Source organism: Homo sapiens, chromosome 1 (genome assembly GCF_000001405.40).
Source record: "Homo sapiens chromosome 1, GRCh38.p14 Primary Assembly".
In the NCBI taxonomy this organism is placed as follows: domain Eukaryota; kingdom Metazoa; phylum Chordata; class Mammalia; order Primates; family Hominidae; genus Homo; species Homo sapiens.
Genome location: NC_000001.11, coordinates 224,249,008 through 224,264,094, shown reverse-complemented (window position 1 = coordinate 224,264,094; position 15,087 = coordinate 224,249,008). Strand labels below are relative to the sequence as shown.

General features: G+C 42.0%; 1 protein-coding gene and 1 non-coding gene across 11 annotated transcripts in view, besides 2 other annotated features; both read left to right on the top strand.

Moving 5' to 3' along the window:
• NVL (nuclear VCP like) overlaps window positions 1–15,087 on the top strand; it is a 102,828-nt gene that overhangs the window by 66,078 nt on the left and 21,663 nt on the right. For all 10 annotated transcript variants that reach the window (NM_001243146.2, NM_206840.3, XM_017001383.2 and 7 more), the window contains one exon: window positions 13,777–13,883. In NM_001243146.2, coding sequence (NP_001230075.1) covers window positions 13,777–13,883 — 107 coding nt within the window. The remainder of the gene's footprint in view (window positions 1–13,776; window positions 13,884–15,087) is intronic.
• Window positions 6,985–7,055, top strand: MIR320B2 (microRNA 320b-2). Its single transcript, NR_031574.2, has one exon. It is a non-coding gene; the product is annotated as a microRNA 320b-2 (primary transcript).
• Window positions 7,054–7,348: a silencer, noted in NCBI's record as "tiled region #1236; HepG2 Repressive non-DNase unmatched - State 23:Low, and K562 Repressive non-DNase unmatched - State 15:Elon". NCBI's record gives its function as "represses a minimal TATA promoter and a strong SV40 promoter by Sharpr-MPRA in HepG2 and K562 cells {active_cell/tissue: HepG2 | K562}" and the evidence as "EXISTENCE:reporter gene assay evidence [ECO:0000049][PMID:27701403]".
• Window positions 8,460–9,385: an enhancer, noted in NCBI's record as "H3K27ac-H3K4me1 hESC enhancer chr1:224442412-224443337 (GRCh37/hg19 assembly coordinates)". NCBI's record gives its function as "activates a minimal SCP1, AML or CMV promoter by ChIP-STARR-seq in naive H9 embryonic stem cells {active_cell/tissue: H9 hESC(naive)}" and the evidence as "EXISTENCE:reporter gene assay evidence [ECO:0000049][PMID:30033119]".

Below are 15,087 nucleotides of genomic sequence, written 5' to 3'. Positions count from 1 at the left end.
CAATCCTTGGTCTCTCTCCCAACCCGGCTGCCAAATAATTATAATCTTTTTGGAGTTTGTTTGTTTGTTTGTTTGTTTTTGAGACGGAATCTTGCTCTGTCGCCCAGACTGGAGCGCAGTGGCATGATCTCGGCTCACCGCAACTTCTGCCTCCCAGGTTCAAGTGATTCTCCTGCCTCAGCCTCCCGAGTAGCTGGGATTACAGGCATGTGCCACCACACCCGGCTAATTTTGTATTTTTAGTAGAGATGGGGTTTCACCTTGTAATCTTTCTGATGTTTTTACTTTATACATTGAAAAATGTTTAAGAAGCAGTCTATAAACTTTCTGTATTCCAAAGAAGTCCTTGACACAAAAGATACTCTGAGCCAGAAGATCTACAGTCCATGGAGAATTTGTGTGAGCTTAATGGGAGAAGTAAGAAGTGGTAAAATTTGAGACACATTTTGAAAGTAAAACTAATAGGATTTTCTGGAATTAGATGTGGGATAAGAGAAAGAAAATAAATAAGGGCTATTCTTATTGTTAGATTGTTTTACCTATACTGGGTAAAATGTTTTGCCACTTCTGAGATAGGGGACACTTGGAGAAAAAGGACACTTTAGAAAAAGACCAACTTTTCTAAAATGTCTGTTCAAGGAGATGAAAATAAGTTTATTTCATTTTCTTTACAAGTCCATATTATTTAAAACAATCACCAGTAATAACAACTAGGTTCTTGGAGCACCTACTAAGTGCCAGGCCCTCTGTTGGATGCTTTACCATTGTAAACCTCACAACAGCCCTACGAGAAAACTACATGTGTGCAAAAGTTGAACCTTGGTGAGTGATATGGTTTGGCTCTGTGTCCCCACCCAAATCTCATCTCCAGTTGTAATTTTGACATATAGAGGGAGGGACCCAGTTTCAAATCAAATGGCAGGAAAAGCTTATAACAAAAACTGTAGTTTTCTCTCCCATCCCTTCTAATCCCCTGCCCAGAGGCAACCACTTGAGCTATTTTTTTCCTTCATATTTTCAAATATGCTCTTATGGCTATTTCTTATCAATTTTAAACACTGCCCATTAACTTCATTTTAAGGTAGATGAAGATTTAGTTATCTTATGTTCACCCTTTCTCCATACCCTCCACTCCCACCATCACTGCCACATCATCTGTCCTCTTCCCCATTCTCCCAGTATTGTAATATAGTTTGATCAGAACTCTTGGTTAAGTCACTAGTGTTTACATTACTATGGCTGTGTCACTATTTCTCTCTGCTGACCCAAGCATGACACTGATTAGGTTTCCTTTCTCATATAACTCTTGTCCTTGGATTCAGTGGCCCTCATTTTTTTCTTTTGCTTTGTTTTCTGTTACTGTTCATCACATATTTTATACAGCTGTCGATGTTATTTATTCAAACGATGTACCAGTTCCATTTGTTTGTTTGTTTCTGGAGACCTCCCTCTGGAGCTTTCCACCTTCCTGGCTCTAATCTGGACTGGTTGCTTTAGGCCTGTGGTCTAAACAGCTGTTATTTCAGGACTTCCTTGACTGTTCTCCTTTGTTTGCCCTTTTTTTCTGATCTCATGGGTTTTTTGTGTGTACTTTTTTTATCTTGCTTACACCCTCATTTTGCTGGTACTTATCTTTCAGTGGCTTTTCTAAGAAAGATTATGTAGGAAGTAGATTTTTTTGACTGCTTGTATATTTGATTTGTTTTTCCAAATGTGAGACCATCCCCCATAGTTCTTTTATATTTAAAAATATCTTTATTCCACCCTAATTTTGATTAGTAACCTAGCTGGGATATAATTTTGAGTTTAAAATTATTTTTCTTCATAATTTATAGACATTGCTTTTTTTCTTTTAAAGGTTCCATGTCATTCTCATTCCTTCTATGTGACTTTTTGTTTGTTTGTTTAATTTGTGTGCTTAGCACTTGGATCTTAAACCCTCCTGGACTGATCTCCTAAATGTCCTCTTTTTTCTTATTTTTCATCTTCTTGCCTTTAATTTTTTTCCCAATTATTGAGGTATTAATGCTTAGAAAGTAAATGAAAATACTGTCCTCTCACCATTCCACCTTTGGTTATTCTGAAGAACTGGGACAGCCCTCTTCTTTTATTTAATTTATTTATTTGTATTTTTGAGACAGGGTCTCACTCTATAGCCTAGGCTAGAGTGCAGTAGTGCAATCACCACTCACTGCAGCCTCAACCTCCTAGGCTCAAGAGATCATCCCACCTCAGCCTCTCACGTAGCTGGGACTACAGGCACGCACCACTACACCCAGCTAATTAAAAAAAAAAAAAACTTTTTTGTAGAGATGACGTCTCACTATGTTGCCCAGGCTGGTCTCAAACTCCTGGGCTCAAGCGATCCTCCCACCTCAGCCTCACAATGTGCTGGGATTACAGGTGTGAACCACCGTGCATAGCCCTAGCCCTCTTCTAATGTGTGCTATATCAAAGTCCACATCTTCTTCTGGAAATAAGCGAACTTCCTTTTGCTTAACCAGAGGAAATGCAGTTCTTTGTACCCTAACCTTAGTCTCTCCTATGCACATCTTTGCATTCTCTTTTTCACATACCAACTCCAGTAAACGATGTTCTCAGTTAGGGAACTACCTGTTCCCCCTTAATCTATTATCTAGCTGTTTAAAAAAGATATTCCTGCACAATTATGAAACCCAAATATCTTATTACTTTCTCTTCTACTCAATAATTACGTATTTTCTACCAGTAGTATAATCCAGAAAGAGTTTCTGCCTTCTATGCATGGCTCAGTTGAAAAAATAAATAAGGGCCAAGTGTGGTGGCTCACACCTGTAATCCCAGCACTTTGGGAGGCTGAGGCAAGAGGATCTCTTAAGGCTAGGAGTTCAAGATTAGCCTGGGCAACAAAGCAAGACCCCATCTCTACAAAATAAAAATTAGGCCAGGTGCAGTGGCTCACACCTGTAATCCCAACACTTCGGGAGGCCGAGGCGGGCAGATCATGAGGTCAGGAGTTCGAGACCAGCCTGGCCAACATGGTGAAACCCCGTCTCTACTAAAAATAAAAAAATCAGCTGGGCGTGGTAGCACGTGCCCATAGTCCCAGCTACTCGGGAGGCTGAGGCAGAAGAATCGCTTGAACTCAGGAGGCAGAGGTTGCAGTGAGCCGAGATCACGCCACTGCACTCCAGCCTGGGTGACAGAGCAAGACTCTGTCTCAAAAAATATAAAATAAAAATAAAAATTAGCCAGATGCACTGGTGTGTACCTGTAATCCCAGCTACTTGGGAAGCTGAGGCAGGAGGATCACTTGAAACTAGAAGTTTGAGGCCACAGTGAGCTATGATTGCACCACTGCACTCCAGCCTGGATGACAGAGCAAGACCCTGTCTCAAAAAAAAAAAAAAAAAAAAGGAAAAGAAGAAATAAATAAGCAAATTATGATTAGATGTGCAAGCTTCTGCAGGGCAGGGATTCATTCTGCACTTTTATATCTGAGAGATAGGTTCTAGTTAGAGGCTCTGCCCATTCTAAGCGTTTAATAATTATCAGATGAAGGCTGGGTGTGTTGGCTCATGCCTGTAATCCCAGCACTTTGGAAGGCTGAGGCAGACACATCACGAGGTTAGGAGATCGAGACTATCCTGGCCAACATGGTGAAACCCGTCTCTACTGAAAATACAAAAATTAGCTGGCCATGGTGGCGCGTGCCTGTAGTCCCAGCTACTCAGGAGACTGAGGCAGGAGAATCGCTGGAACTCGGGAGGTGGAGGTTGTAGTGATCGCGCCACTGCACTTCAGCCTGGTGACAGAGCAAGACTCCGTCTCAAAAAATAATAGTAATTATCAGATGAAAGAGTGGATGACTCACAGAGAAGGTATTTATTTCATTGTACTAAGATATTTACCACTGAAGTTCCAAGCTAAATAGAGTGTTTCCTTACACATCTAGTCTGGATGCTTTGGGTCATTGTTGAATGCATTTGAAGGTAATTGAACAATGACTTGGTGCCATGGTCAACCCTGTATGTTTTGCCCTTTGGCACAGTACTGCCCTTTTAAAATTAGGTTATGCCCAGCCAGAACTTTGGCTGAGTTATAGATGCTATGATATGTAGTAGAGCTCAATAATTATTTGTTTACGGCTGGATGCGATGGCTCATGCCTGTAATCCCAGCGCTTTGGGAGGCTGAGGTGAGCAGATCACTTGAGGCCAGGAGTTTGAGACCAACCTGGGTTAACGTGGCAAAAATCTCGTCTCTACTAAAAATACAAAAAAAAAAAAAAAAAGTTAGCTGGGTATGGTGGCACACACCTGTAATCCCAGCTACTTGGGAGGCTGAGGCACAAGAATTGCTTGAACCTGGAAAGTGAAAGTTGTAATGAGCGGAGATTGTGCCACTGCACTCCAGCTTGGGCAACAGAAGGAGACTCTGTCTCAAAACAAACAAACAAAAAACATCATTCTTATTATTATTATTTGTTTAATGAATCATGAGTAGAAACCTATTTCATGAAGGTTGTCTGATCTTGTAATTATTTTCAATGGATATATTTATAGTGTTGCTAGTCTGAGGATTCATTTTTTTAAAAAGCTTTACTGAGATGTAAGTGGCATATCGTAAAATTTACCCATTTTAAGTATATCATTCAATGGTTTTGAGTATATTTACATAGCTTTACAGCCATCCCAACAATCTAATCTTAGAATATTTGCATCACCTGGGCCATGTGTGGCTCATGCCTGTAATCCCAGCACTTTGGGAGGCTGAGGCGAGTGGACCACTTGAGGCCAGGAGTTTGAGACCAGCCTGGCCAACACAGTGAAGCCTCGTCTCTACCAAAAACATACAAAATTTAGCAGGGCATGGTGGTGCGCACCTAGAGTCCCAGCTACTTAGGAGGCTGAGGCAGGAGAATCGCTTGAACCTAGAAGGCAGAGGTTGCAGTGAGCCGAGATTGTGCCACTACACTCCAGCTTGGGCAACAGAGTGAGACCCTATCTCAAAAAAAAAAAAATGTTCATCACCCTTAAAAAATCTCATGCCTGTTAGCATTCAGTTTTCCTTTTCTCATCTCCAGCCTTAGGCAACCACTAATCTACTTTCCTTTTTTTTTTTTTTTTTTTTTTTTAATGTAGAGACAGGGTCTCATGTTAACCAGGTTGGTCTCGCACTCCTGGCCTGCAGCATGCCCCCTGCCTTGGCCTCTCAAAGTACTGAGGTTTTAGGCATGTGTCGCTACTGGCCATCATCTACTTTCTGTCTATATAAATTTGTCTATTCTGGATATTTTATGTAAATAGCATTATACAATATGAGGGCTCTTAAATCTGGCTTCTTTAGCATAATGTTTTCAAGATTTATTCATATTATAGAATGTATCAATACTCCATTCCTTTTTATTATGAAATAATATCCCGTTGTATGGATATACCACATTTTGTGTATTCACCAGTTGGACATCTGGGCTGTTTCTGTTTTTTGGCTATTATGAATAATGCTGCTATGAACATTCATGTATGCATTTTTGTATGGACATATGTTTTAATTTCTCCTGGGTCTATACCTAGGAGTGGAATTGCTGGATCATATGGTAACTCCCTGTTTAACATTTTGAGAAACTGCTAAACTCTTTTCCAAAGTGGCTGCATCATTTTTATATTCCCACTAGTAATTTTGACATTAAAATATATGACAGTTCTGATTTATTCACATTCTTACTAATACCTGTTATTGTCTTTTTTTATTATAGTTATTCTAGTGGATGTGAGGTGGTATTTCATTCTGATTTGATTTGCATTTCCCTGATAACTGATAGTGTTGAGCATCTTTTATTGTGCTTGTTGGTCATTTGTATGTCTTCTTTGGAGATATGTCTGGTCATTTTTCAATTAGGTTATTTGCCTTGTCATTGAGTAGTAAGAGTTCTTTGTTCTAGATACAAATCTAAAATCAGATATGTGATCTACATATGTTTTCACCAATCTGTGGGTTGTCTATTCACTTTTTTGATGTCATTTGAAACACAAGTTTTTAATTTTGATAAATTCCAATTTATGTGTTTGTCTTTTACCGCTTGCAATTTTGATGGTGTTATCAATGGTGTAAAAATCATTGCCTAACCGAAGGTCACTAAAATTAACTCCTGCATTTTCTTCTCATAAAATTTTAGCTCTTACATTTAGGTCTTTGATCCATTTTGAGTTAATTTGTTGCGTGTTGTGAGGAAAGTGTGCAAATTGATTCTTTTGAGTGTCAATATCCCTTGTCGGGCCCAGTGCAGTGACTCATGCCTGTAATCCCAGCACTTTGGGAGGCCAACATGGGAGGATTGTTTGAGCTCAGGAGTTCAAGACCAGCCTGGGCAACATAGTGAGACCTCATCTCTACAAAAAATACACAAAAACAAAACAAAATTAAATGGGCATGGTGGTGCATGCCTGTAGTCTTAGCTACTTGGGAGGCTATGGCGGGAGGATTGCTTGAGTCCCGGAGATCAAGGCTGCAGTGAGCTATGATACACCACTGCACTCCAGCCTGCGCTACAGAGTGAGACCCTGTCTCCAAAAAAAGAAACAAACAAACAAACAAACAGACAAACAAAAAACCACTTGTCCTAGCACCTTTGTTGCAAAGATTAATTAGTCCCCCATTGAATTGTCTTGTTACCTTTGTTAAAAATTGAGGGTCCATTTATAACAAAATAATGTTTTCCTAAAGTTAAAAGTTGCTACTGTTACCTCTCAATTTTAACTTTTTTTTTCTTTTTTAATTAATGTTTTTTACCCATGGCAAGCTGTAATAGCTTTTTTGAGGGGAGGTAGGTGCTTTATAAAGAACAGTAGGTGCTGCTTATCAACAGATGAAAGGAGGGTTCTTTTTCAGGCAACCATCTCATTTGTGAGTGAATGCACTTTCTCTTTAAAGTGCTGGGATTGTTAGTGCCATTTTTATTGTAAATATCAGAATTGTTATTTTTTGTCTTCTACCTAAGAATTCTGTCTCTTAGGCTTTCTCTTCCCAGATTTCCCAAAGTTGGGAAAAGCTGGGTTGAGAGGGCAAAAGGAAAAAAAAAGAATTCTGTCTCTGACATAATTAGATAGGGAACCAGTTGGGAAGCTGTAAGAATAATGCAGGTGCAAGGTGGTGGTGGTTTGAGCCGGGTGATAGCTGTGGATGTAGAAGGAATCTGAATATATTGTGTCATAGGGTTGACCTGATTTGCTAATGGAGTAGTTAAGGATGTGGGAAAGTGGAATCAAGCATGGCTCCAAGGTCTGGGCCTGAAAAACCGGGAGAATGAGTTCACATTAACTAAGACGGGAAAGACAATGGTAGGGGCCTGTTTAGGGAAGAGCTAGGAAGAGATTAGCATCTCATTTCTAATGATGTAATACATAGAATCTTGCAGGAGCCTTTAGTGAAGTGTAGTTTAAGTCATCTAATACTAAAATTTATATAAAGTGTCCAGAATGCCTTTTACTGTAAATAACTTATTAAAATAATAAACTGCATAATATTAAGTGTGATATTTGTCAGAGATGTTAAGTGATTATAGGACTCCCAAACTAAGAATGCTTTATAATTATCATCAGTATTCCCCTTTACCTTGGGGCATGTAGAACTGGCTTTAAGATGTGTTTTGTGGGGAGTTTTCTGTGGGTTTTTTTTTTTTTTTTTTTTTTTTAGATGGAGCCTCACCCTGTTGCCCAGGCTGGAGTGCAGTAGCACGATCTTGGCTCACTGCAACCTCCGCTTCCCAGGTTCAAGCGATTCTCCTGCCTTAGCCTCCCGAGTAGCTGGGATTGCAGGCATGCAACACCATGCTCAGCTAATTTTTTTATTTTCAGTAGTTATGGAGTTTCACCATGTTGGCCAAGCTGGTCTCGAACTCCTGACCTCAAGTGATCCACCCGCCTCAGCCTCCCAAAGTGCTGGGATTACAGGCATGAGCCACCATGCCTGGCATGTATTTATATGTTTAAATTAAAAGATGTTTCAACGGCATGGTAATTGGCATAGAGCTGAGACAGATAAATAAAAGGAACAGAAAAAAAATCCAGAAATATTCCTATGCATATCTAGATAGTTGATGTATTTAAAAAGCACAAAGGCAATGCAGTGGAGAATGTATAGTCTTTTCAACAATGGTACTGGAGCAACTGAATATCCATATGCAAAAAGAAAAATTGAACCTTAATTCATACCTTTTACCACATACAAAAAATAACTCAAAATGAATCAAAGACCATTGAAAACAACATTATAAAACTCTTGGAAGAAAACACTGGAGAAATTTTTTTCTACCTTGAATTAAGCAAAGATTTCCTATATGATATTAAAAGCGTAAACCATAAAAGAGCAAATAGATAAACTGAACTGCTCTTCAAAAGTGCCAATAAGCCAGGTACAGTGGTACACGCCTGTAAACCCAGCTACTCAGGAGACTGAGGTGGGAGGATCCTTTGAGCTCAGCACTTCGAGGCCAGCCTGGGCAGTGTAGTGAGACCCAGTCTCTTACAAAAATGCAAATAAGAGAATATAAAGATAAACCACAGACTAGGAGAAAATATTTGCAAAGCATATATCTGATAAAGGATTAAAAACTACACCATTTTAGGCCAGGCGCGGTGGCTCACGCCTGTAATCCCAGCACTTTGGGAGGCCCAGGTGGGCGGATCACAAGGTCAGGAGATCGAGACCAACCTGGCTAACATGGTGAAACTCCGTCTCTACTAAAAATACAAAAGAAATTAGCTGAGCATGGTGGTGGGCACCTGTAAGTCCCAGCTACTCTGGAGGCTGAGGCAGGAGAATGGCGAGAACCAGGGAGGTGGAGCTTGCCGTGAGCCAAGATCGCACCACTGCATTCCAGCCTGGACGGCAGAGCGAGACCCTGTCTCAGGAAAAAAAAAAAAAAAAAAAAAACCTACACCATTTTGGGCCAGGCACATTGGCTCATGCCTGTAATCCCAGCACTTTGGGAACCGAGGCAGACGGATCATGAGGTCAGGAGATCGAGACCATCCTAGCCAACATGGTGAAATCCCGTCTCTACCAAAAATACAAAAAGTAGCTGAGTGTGGTGGTGCATGCCTGGAATCCCAGCTACTTGGGAGGCTGAGGCAGGAGAATCGCTTGAACCTGGGAGTTGAGGTTTCAGTGAGCCAAGGTCATGCCACTGTACTCCAGCCTGGCGACAGAGACTCCGTCTCAAAAAAAAAAAAAAAAAACTACACCATTTTAAAAGTAGCCAAAAGGTACTTGAAAATTGCCAAGAAAGTAGATTTTAAGTGATCTACCACAAAAAAAGTAATAAGAATATGAGGTAATGCCTGTGTCAGTTGTCTCAACTTGGCCATTCCACAATGTATACACATTTTAAAAACACATGTTGGCCAGGCACAGTGGCTCACGCCTGTAATCCCACCACTTTGGGAGGCCGAGATGAGCAGATCACCTGAGGTTGGGAGTTCGAGACCAGCCTGACCAACATGGAGAAACCCTGTTTCTACTAAAAATACAAAAAAAAAAAAAACAAAAAAAACAAATTAGCCGGGCATGGTGGTGCATGCCTGTAATCCCAGCTACTTGGGAGGCTGACGCAGGAGAATCACTTGAATCCAGGAGGTAGAGGTTGCGGTGAGCTGAGATTGCGCCATTGCACTCCAGCCTGGGCAACAAGAGCAAAACTCCATCTCAAAAAAAAAAAAAAAAAAATGCCAGGCACTGTGGCTCATGCCTGTAATCCTAGCACTTTGGGAGGCCAAGGCAGGTGGATCACGAGGTCAGGAGTTCGAGACCAGCCTGACCAATATGGTGAAACCCCGTCTCTACTAAAAATACAAAAGTTAGCCGGGCATGGTGGTGGTCACCTGTAATCCCAGCTGCTCAGGAGGCTGAGGCAGGAGAATGAACTTGAACCCGGGAGGCAGAGGTTGCAGTGAGCTGAGATCATGCCACTGCACTCCAGCCTGGGCGACAGAGTGAGACTCCATCTCAAAACAAAAAAAAACATGTTGTACAACCTAAATATATACCATTTTTCTTTGTCAGTTTACAAAATTATTTAATCAACTTTAAACATAAAAATGGCCAAAAGATTTGTACAGTTACTTCACCATAGGAGGTGTACAAATGGCAAACTCATGAAAAATGCTTCACACCATTAGTCACTAGGGAAATGCAAATTAAAGCCACAGTAAGCACTACAAACCTTAGAATAACTAAAAGATTGAAAAGACTGGCTGTGCCAAATGTTGGCAAGGATATGGAGGAACTGGAACTTTCATGCACTGATGATGGGAATGTAATGGTACAAGTAGTTTGGAAAACAGTTTGGCAATTTCTTTTTTTCTTTTCTTTTTTTTTTTTTTTTTGAGACCGAGCCTTGCTCTGTCCCAAGGCTGGAGTGCAGTGGCCTGATCTCGGCTCACTGCAACCTCCGCCTCCTGAGTTCAAGTGATTCTCCTGCCTCAGCCTCCTGAATAGCTGAGATTACAGGCATGTGCCACCACGCCTAGCTAATTTTTGTATTTTTAGTAGAGACGGGGTTTCACCATGTTGGCCAGGATGGTCTCAATCTCTTGACCTTGTGATCCTCCCGCCTCAGCCTCCCAAAGTGCTGGGATTACAGGCGTGAGCCACTCCACCCGGCCAGCAATTTCTTAAAAGTTAAGCATATACCTACAGTTTGATATGGCCATACTACTGGTATCTTACACTTAGGTAATTTACTGAAGAGAAATGAAAGCATATACAGCCTGGGAGCCGTGGCTCAGGCCTGTAATCCCAGCACTTCGGGAGGCTAAGGCGGGTGGATCATGAGGTCAGGAGCTCAAGACCAGCCTGGCCAAGATGGTGAAACCCTGTCTCTACTAAAAATAGAAAACTTAGCCGGGCGTGGGGGGCAGGGGGGCACACTTGTAATCTCAGCTACTTGGGAGGCTGATGCAGAGAACTGCTTGAACCCAGGAGGCAGAGGTTGCAATGAGCCGAGATCGCCCCACTGCACTCTAGCCTGGGTGACAGAGTGAGACTCTGTCATTAAAAAAAAAAGCATATACAAAGACTTGTACAAGAAAATTACTGACACATGAAACAACTTGGGTGAAACCCAAAATGATTATGTTGCATGAAAGAAAGCACAGTACATATTGTATAATTCCACTTACATAAAACTTTAGAAAATGCAAACTAATCTATAGTGCCAAAACAGATAGGTGGCTGCCTAAGGATAAAGGAGAGCAGGTAAGGGCAGGAGAGAAAGGTTACAAAGGAGTCCTCAATAATTTTTAAGAGTGCAAAGGGATTCTGAGACATGAATATTTGACAACCTCTGCTCTGTAGAGTCAGAAGACCCTTAGGCTTGTTGAACCATGCTCTAGTATGATATTGAAAGTGTTATGCAGTAATATTCTTTCCTATTTCCAAGTATGGAATCCTAGCATTCCAAGAGAGAATTCCAACAATGTGCTGAATAGTGATGAAACCATTGAATAATAAGTATATGGGTTCCATAAGGTGGTTAAAGAACAACATCTAACAGGTTTGGAATTTTAGCTAAAAAGGGAATAATAATAATTTACCTCTTTGTAGAGGAGTAACTCATTGGTTAAGTCTTAGTAGGTTTATTAGAAACGTGAATCTCATTAATTATAGCCTGTGTCTGAACATTGTGAGCTATAAGAACCCTCATATTAATGGTTAAGGGACTGTTGGAAATGATGTGATTTTATTAAAAATGGGGTCTTTGTGGAGGAGTCAGGAATGGTCAAAATGAGCTTCAGGTATGGGGCTTGCTCTGTGCTCCTGATACCAAGGGTCTGGCAAGCACAAAGGAAGGTGAGAGAGTTTATCTGGGGGGACTCAAGGAAAACTTCCTGAAAGAGGTGTCCTTTGAGAATTCCCACAGGTATAAATGAGGAGGGAGGCACTTCAGGGAAGGGAACCACTGAGAGCACAGAGAAGGCAAGAAGCTTCTGGATTGTTTAGGGAACAGCAAGACATCTGGTGTAAACAGGGCGTGGGAGTTGGAAGAATGTGTAGGAAGAATAAAACCAGAAAGGAAGATGGTCAGATCCTAAAGGGATTTCCTGCCATAGTGACAGCTGGAGGATTCATTCTGCAGTGGGAGCGGAATTTGAGAGAATTGGACGTGTATTTTAGGACAATAACACTAGCGGCATTGTAAAGAGGCCCAGAGAGAGGAAGTCTAGAGGCAGGACCATTTAGGAGGACTCACATTTTGCCTTTACTGAGGGTTGACGTAATCAGAGGAATGCTTGATGGAAATTGGTTAGAGGGAAGGGAGAAACCTGCCTGGTATTTGGGAGGTAGGGTGGGGTGGAGTGGTGTGGTGATCATTATCTGAGATAGGGAATCCTGGAAGAAGAGCAGTTTGGGGCCGGAAGGTGGGGTGGACTTTTCATTTACTTAAGGACATGTTTTGTTTTTTTGTTATTGTTTTTGAGACAAGAGTCTTGCTCTGTCGCCCAGGCTGGAGTGCAGTGGCACGATCTCCGCTCATTGCAGCCTCCGCCTCCCAGGTTCAAGTGATTCTTCTGCCTCAACCTCACAAGTAGCTGGGATTACAGGTGTGGACCACCACACCCAGCTAATGTTTTGTTTTTTTTAGTAGGCACAGGGTTTCACCATGTTGGCCAGGCTGGTTTCAAACTCCTGACCTCAGGTGATCTGCCACCATGCATAGCCGAAGAGATGTATTTTGATGAGCAGAAGCTTTTCATTTAAATAAAATGCAATTTATTAATTTTTTATTTTTTATAAAGAGGTTATTCTCATCTCATGTTAATTGCTTTTTTTTTTTTTTTTTTTTTGAGACAGTATCACTCTGTTGGCCAGGCTGAAGTGCAGTGGCACGATCTCAGCTCACTGCAACCTCCATCTCCCAGGCTCAAGCAATTTTCCTGCCTCAGCCTCCCGAGTAGGTGGGATTACAGGTGTGTGCCATCACACCTGGCTAATTTTTGTATTTTTAGCAGAGACGGGGTTTCACCATATTAGCCAGGCTGGTCTCGAACTCCTGACCTCAGGTAATCTGCCTGCCTTGGCCTCCCAAAGTGCTGGGATTACAGGTGTGAGCCCCCGCGCCCAGCCGTTAATTGCATTTTTTAAAAGATTTTATTTATTTGGTCTGAGCACAGTGGCTCACGTCTGTAATCCCAGCACTTTGGGAGGCCGAGAAGGGCGGATTGCTTGCACTCGGGAGTTCAAGACTAGCCTGGGCAACATAGCGAAATCCTGTCTCTACTAAAAATAAAAAATTAACCAGCCAAACATCTTATGTGCTCACTCATAAGTGGGAGCTAAGCTATGAGGACACAAAGCATAAGAATGATACAGTGGACTTTTGTGGACTCGAGGGAAAGAGTGGGAGCGGTTGAGGGATAAAAGACTGCACACTGGGTACAGTATATGCTGCTCCAGTGATGGGTGCACCAAAATCTCAGAAATCACCACCAAATAACTTACTCATGTAACCAGACACCACCTGTTCCCCAAAAACCTATTGAAATAAAAATTAATTAATTAATTAAAGTAAGTAAAAGAAAAAAAATTAGCCAGGCATGATAGCATGCATCTATAGTCTTAGCTACTCAGGAGGCTGAGGTGGGAGAATCATCTGAGCCTGGGAGGTCGAGGCTGCAGTGAGCTGAGATCATGCCACTGCACTCCAGCCTGGGAGATGGAACAAGACCCTCTCTCAAAAAAATAAAAAAATAAAAATAAAAGGTTTTATTTAAGACTTTTTTTCTCCCTTCTTCTCTAGATATAATTGACCCTGCAATCCTGCGCCCGGGCCGCCTGGACAAAACACTGTTTGTGGGTTTACCGCCCCCTGCAGATCGCCTTGCCATCTTAAAAACTATCACAAAAGTGAGTAAAGGAAATGGTATATTTTTGTATATGTTTCTCTTGTTTTAAATAGAGACAGTTATAAGAGGTAGTAATTTTCGTTGACTGATTACTTTCTTTTCTGTAGCTGTGTTTGCCCAGCCTATATCTCCCAAAGGGAAGGTGAACTGATCTTCGATTATTACTTTAAAATAATTTACATCAGATCATATTTGAAATGGAGTAGAAACTTTTGGAGAAACTGGCACTTTGGGAGGGCGAGGTGAACCCAGGAGTTTGGTACCAGCCTGGGCAATATACTGAGACTCTGTCTCTACAAAAGATAGAAAAAATTAGCCAGATATGGTGGCACCCACCTGTGGGACCATGTACTCAGAAGGCTTAGGTGGAAGGATTGCTTGAGCCCAGGAGGTCAAGGCTGCAGGGAGCTGTGATCACACCACTGTACTCCAGCCTGGGCAACAGAGCAAGACCCTATCCTTTTTTTTGAGGCAGAGTCTTGCTCTGTCACCCAGGCTGGAGTGCAGTGGCATGATCTTGGCTCACTGCAAGCTCTGCCTCCCAGGTTCACGCCATTCTCCTGCCTCAGCCTCCCGAGTAGCTGGGACTACAGGTGCTCGCCACCACGTCCGGCTAATTTTTTGTGTTTTTTAGTAGAGACGGGGTTTTACCGTGTTAGCCAGGATGGTCTCGATCTCCTGACCTCGTGATCCACCCGCCTCGGCCTCCCAAAGTGCTGGGATTACAGGCGTGAGCCACCGCACCAGACCCCGCAAGACCCTATATTTAAAAATAAATAAATAAGTGGGCCAAACACGTTGGCTCACACCTGTCATCCCAGCACTTTGGGAAGCCAAGGCAGGTGGATTGCTTTGACCTCAGGAGTTCAAGATCAGCCTGGGAAACATGGGGAAACCCCATCTCTACAAAAAATACAAAAATTAGCTGGACTTCAATGGCTCATGCCTGGCTGAGGCTGGAGAATCCCTTGAGCCCAAGAAGTGGAGGTTGCAGTCAGCCAAGATCGTGCTACTGCACTCAAGCCTGGGTAACAGACCAAGACCCTCTCTCAAAAAAAAAAATTGAATGACTTCTGTCATCCCACTTCTCACTACCTGGAACTAGTTTTTCTGCCCTTCACACATCACATTTTGAGGTCTGTAGAAGTGCTTTGTTTCTACATTTCTATAGCCTTGGGATGGGAGAGGGAGCTAAGCTGGTGGTG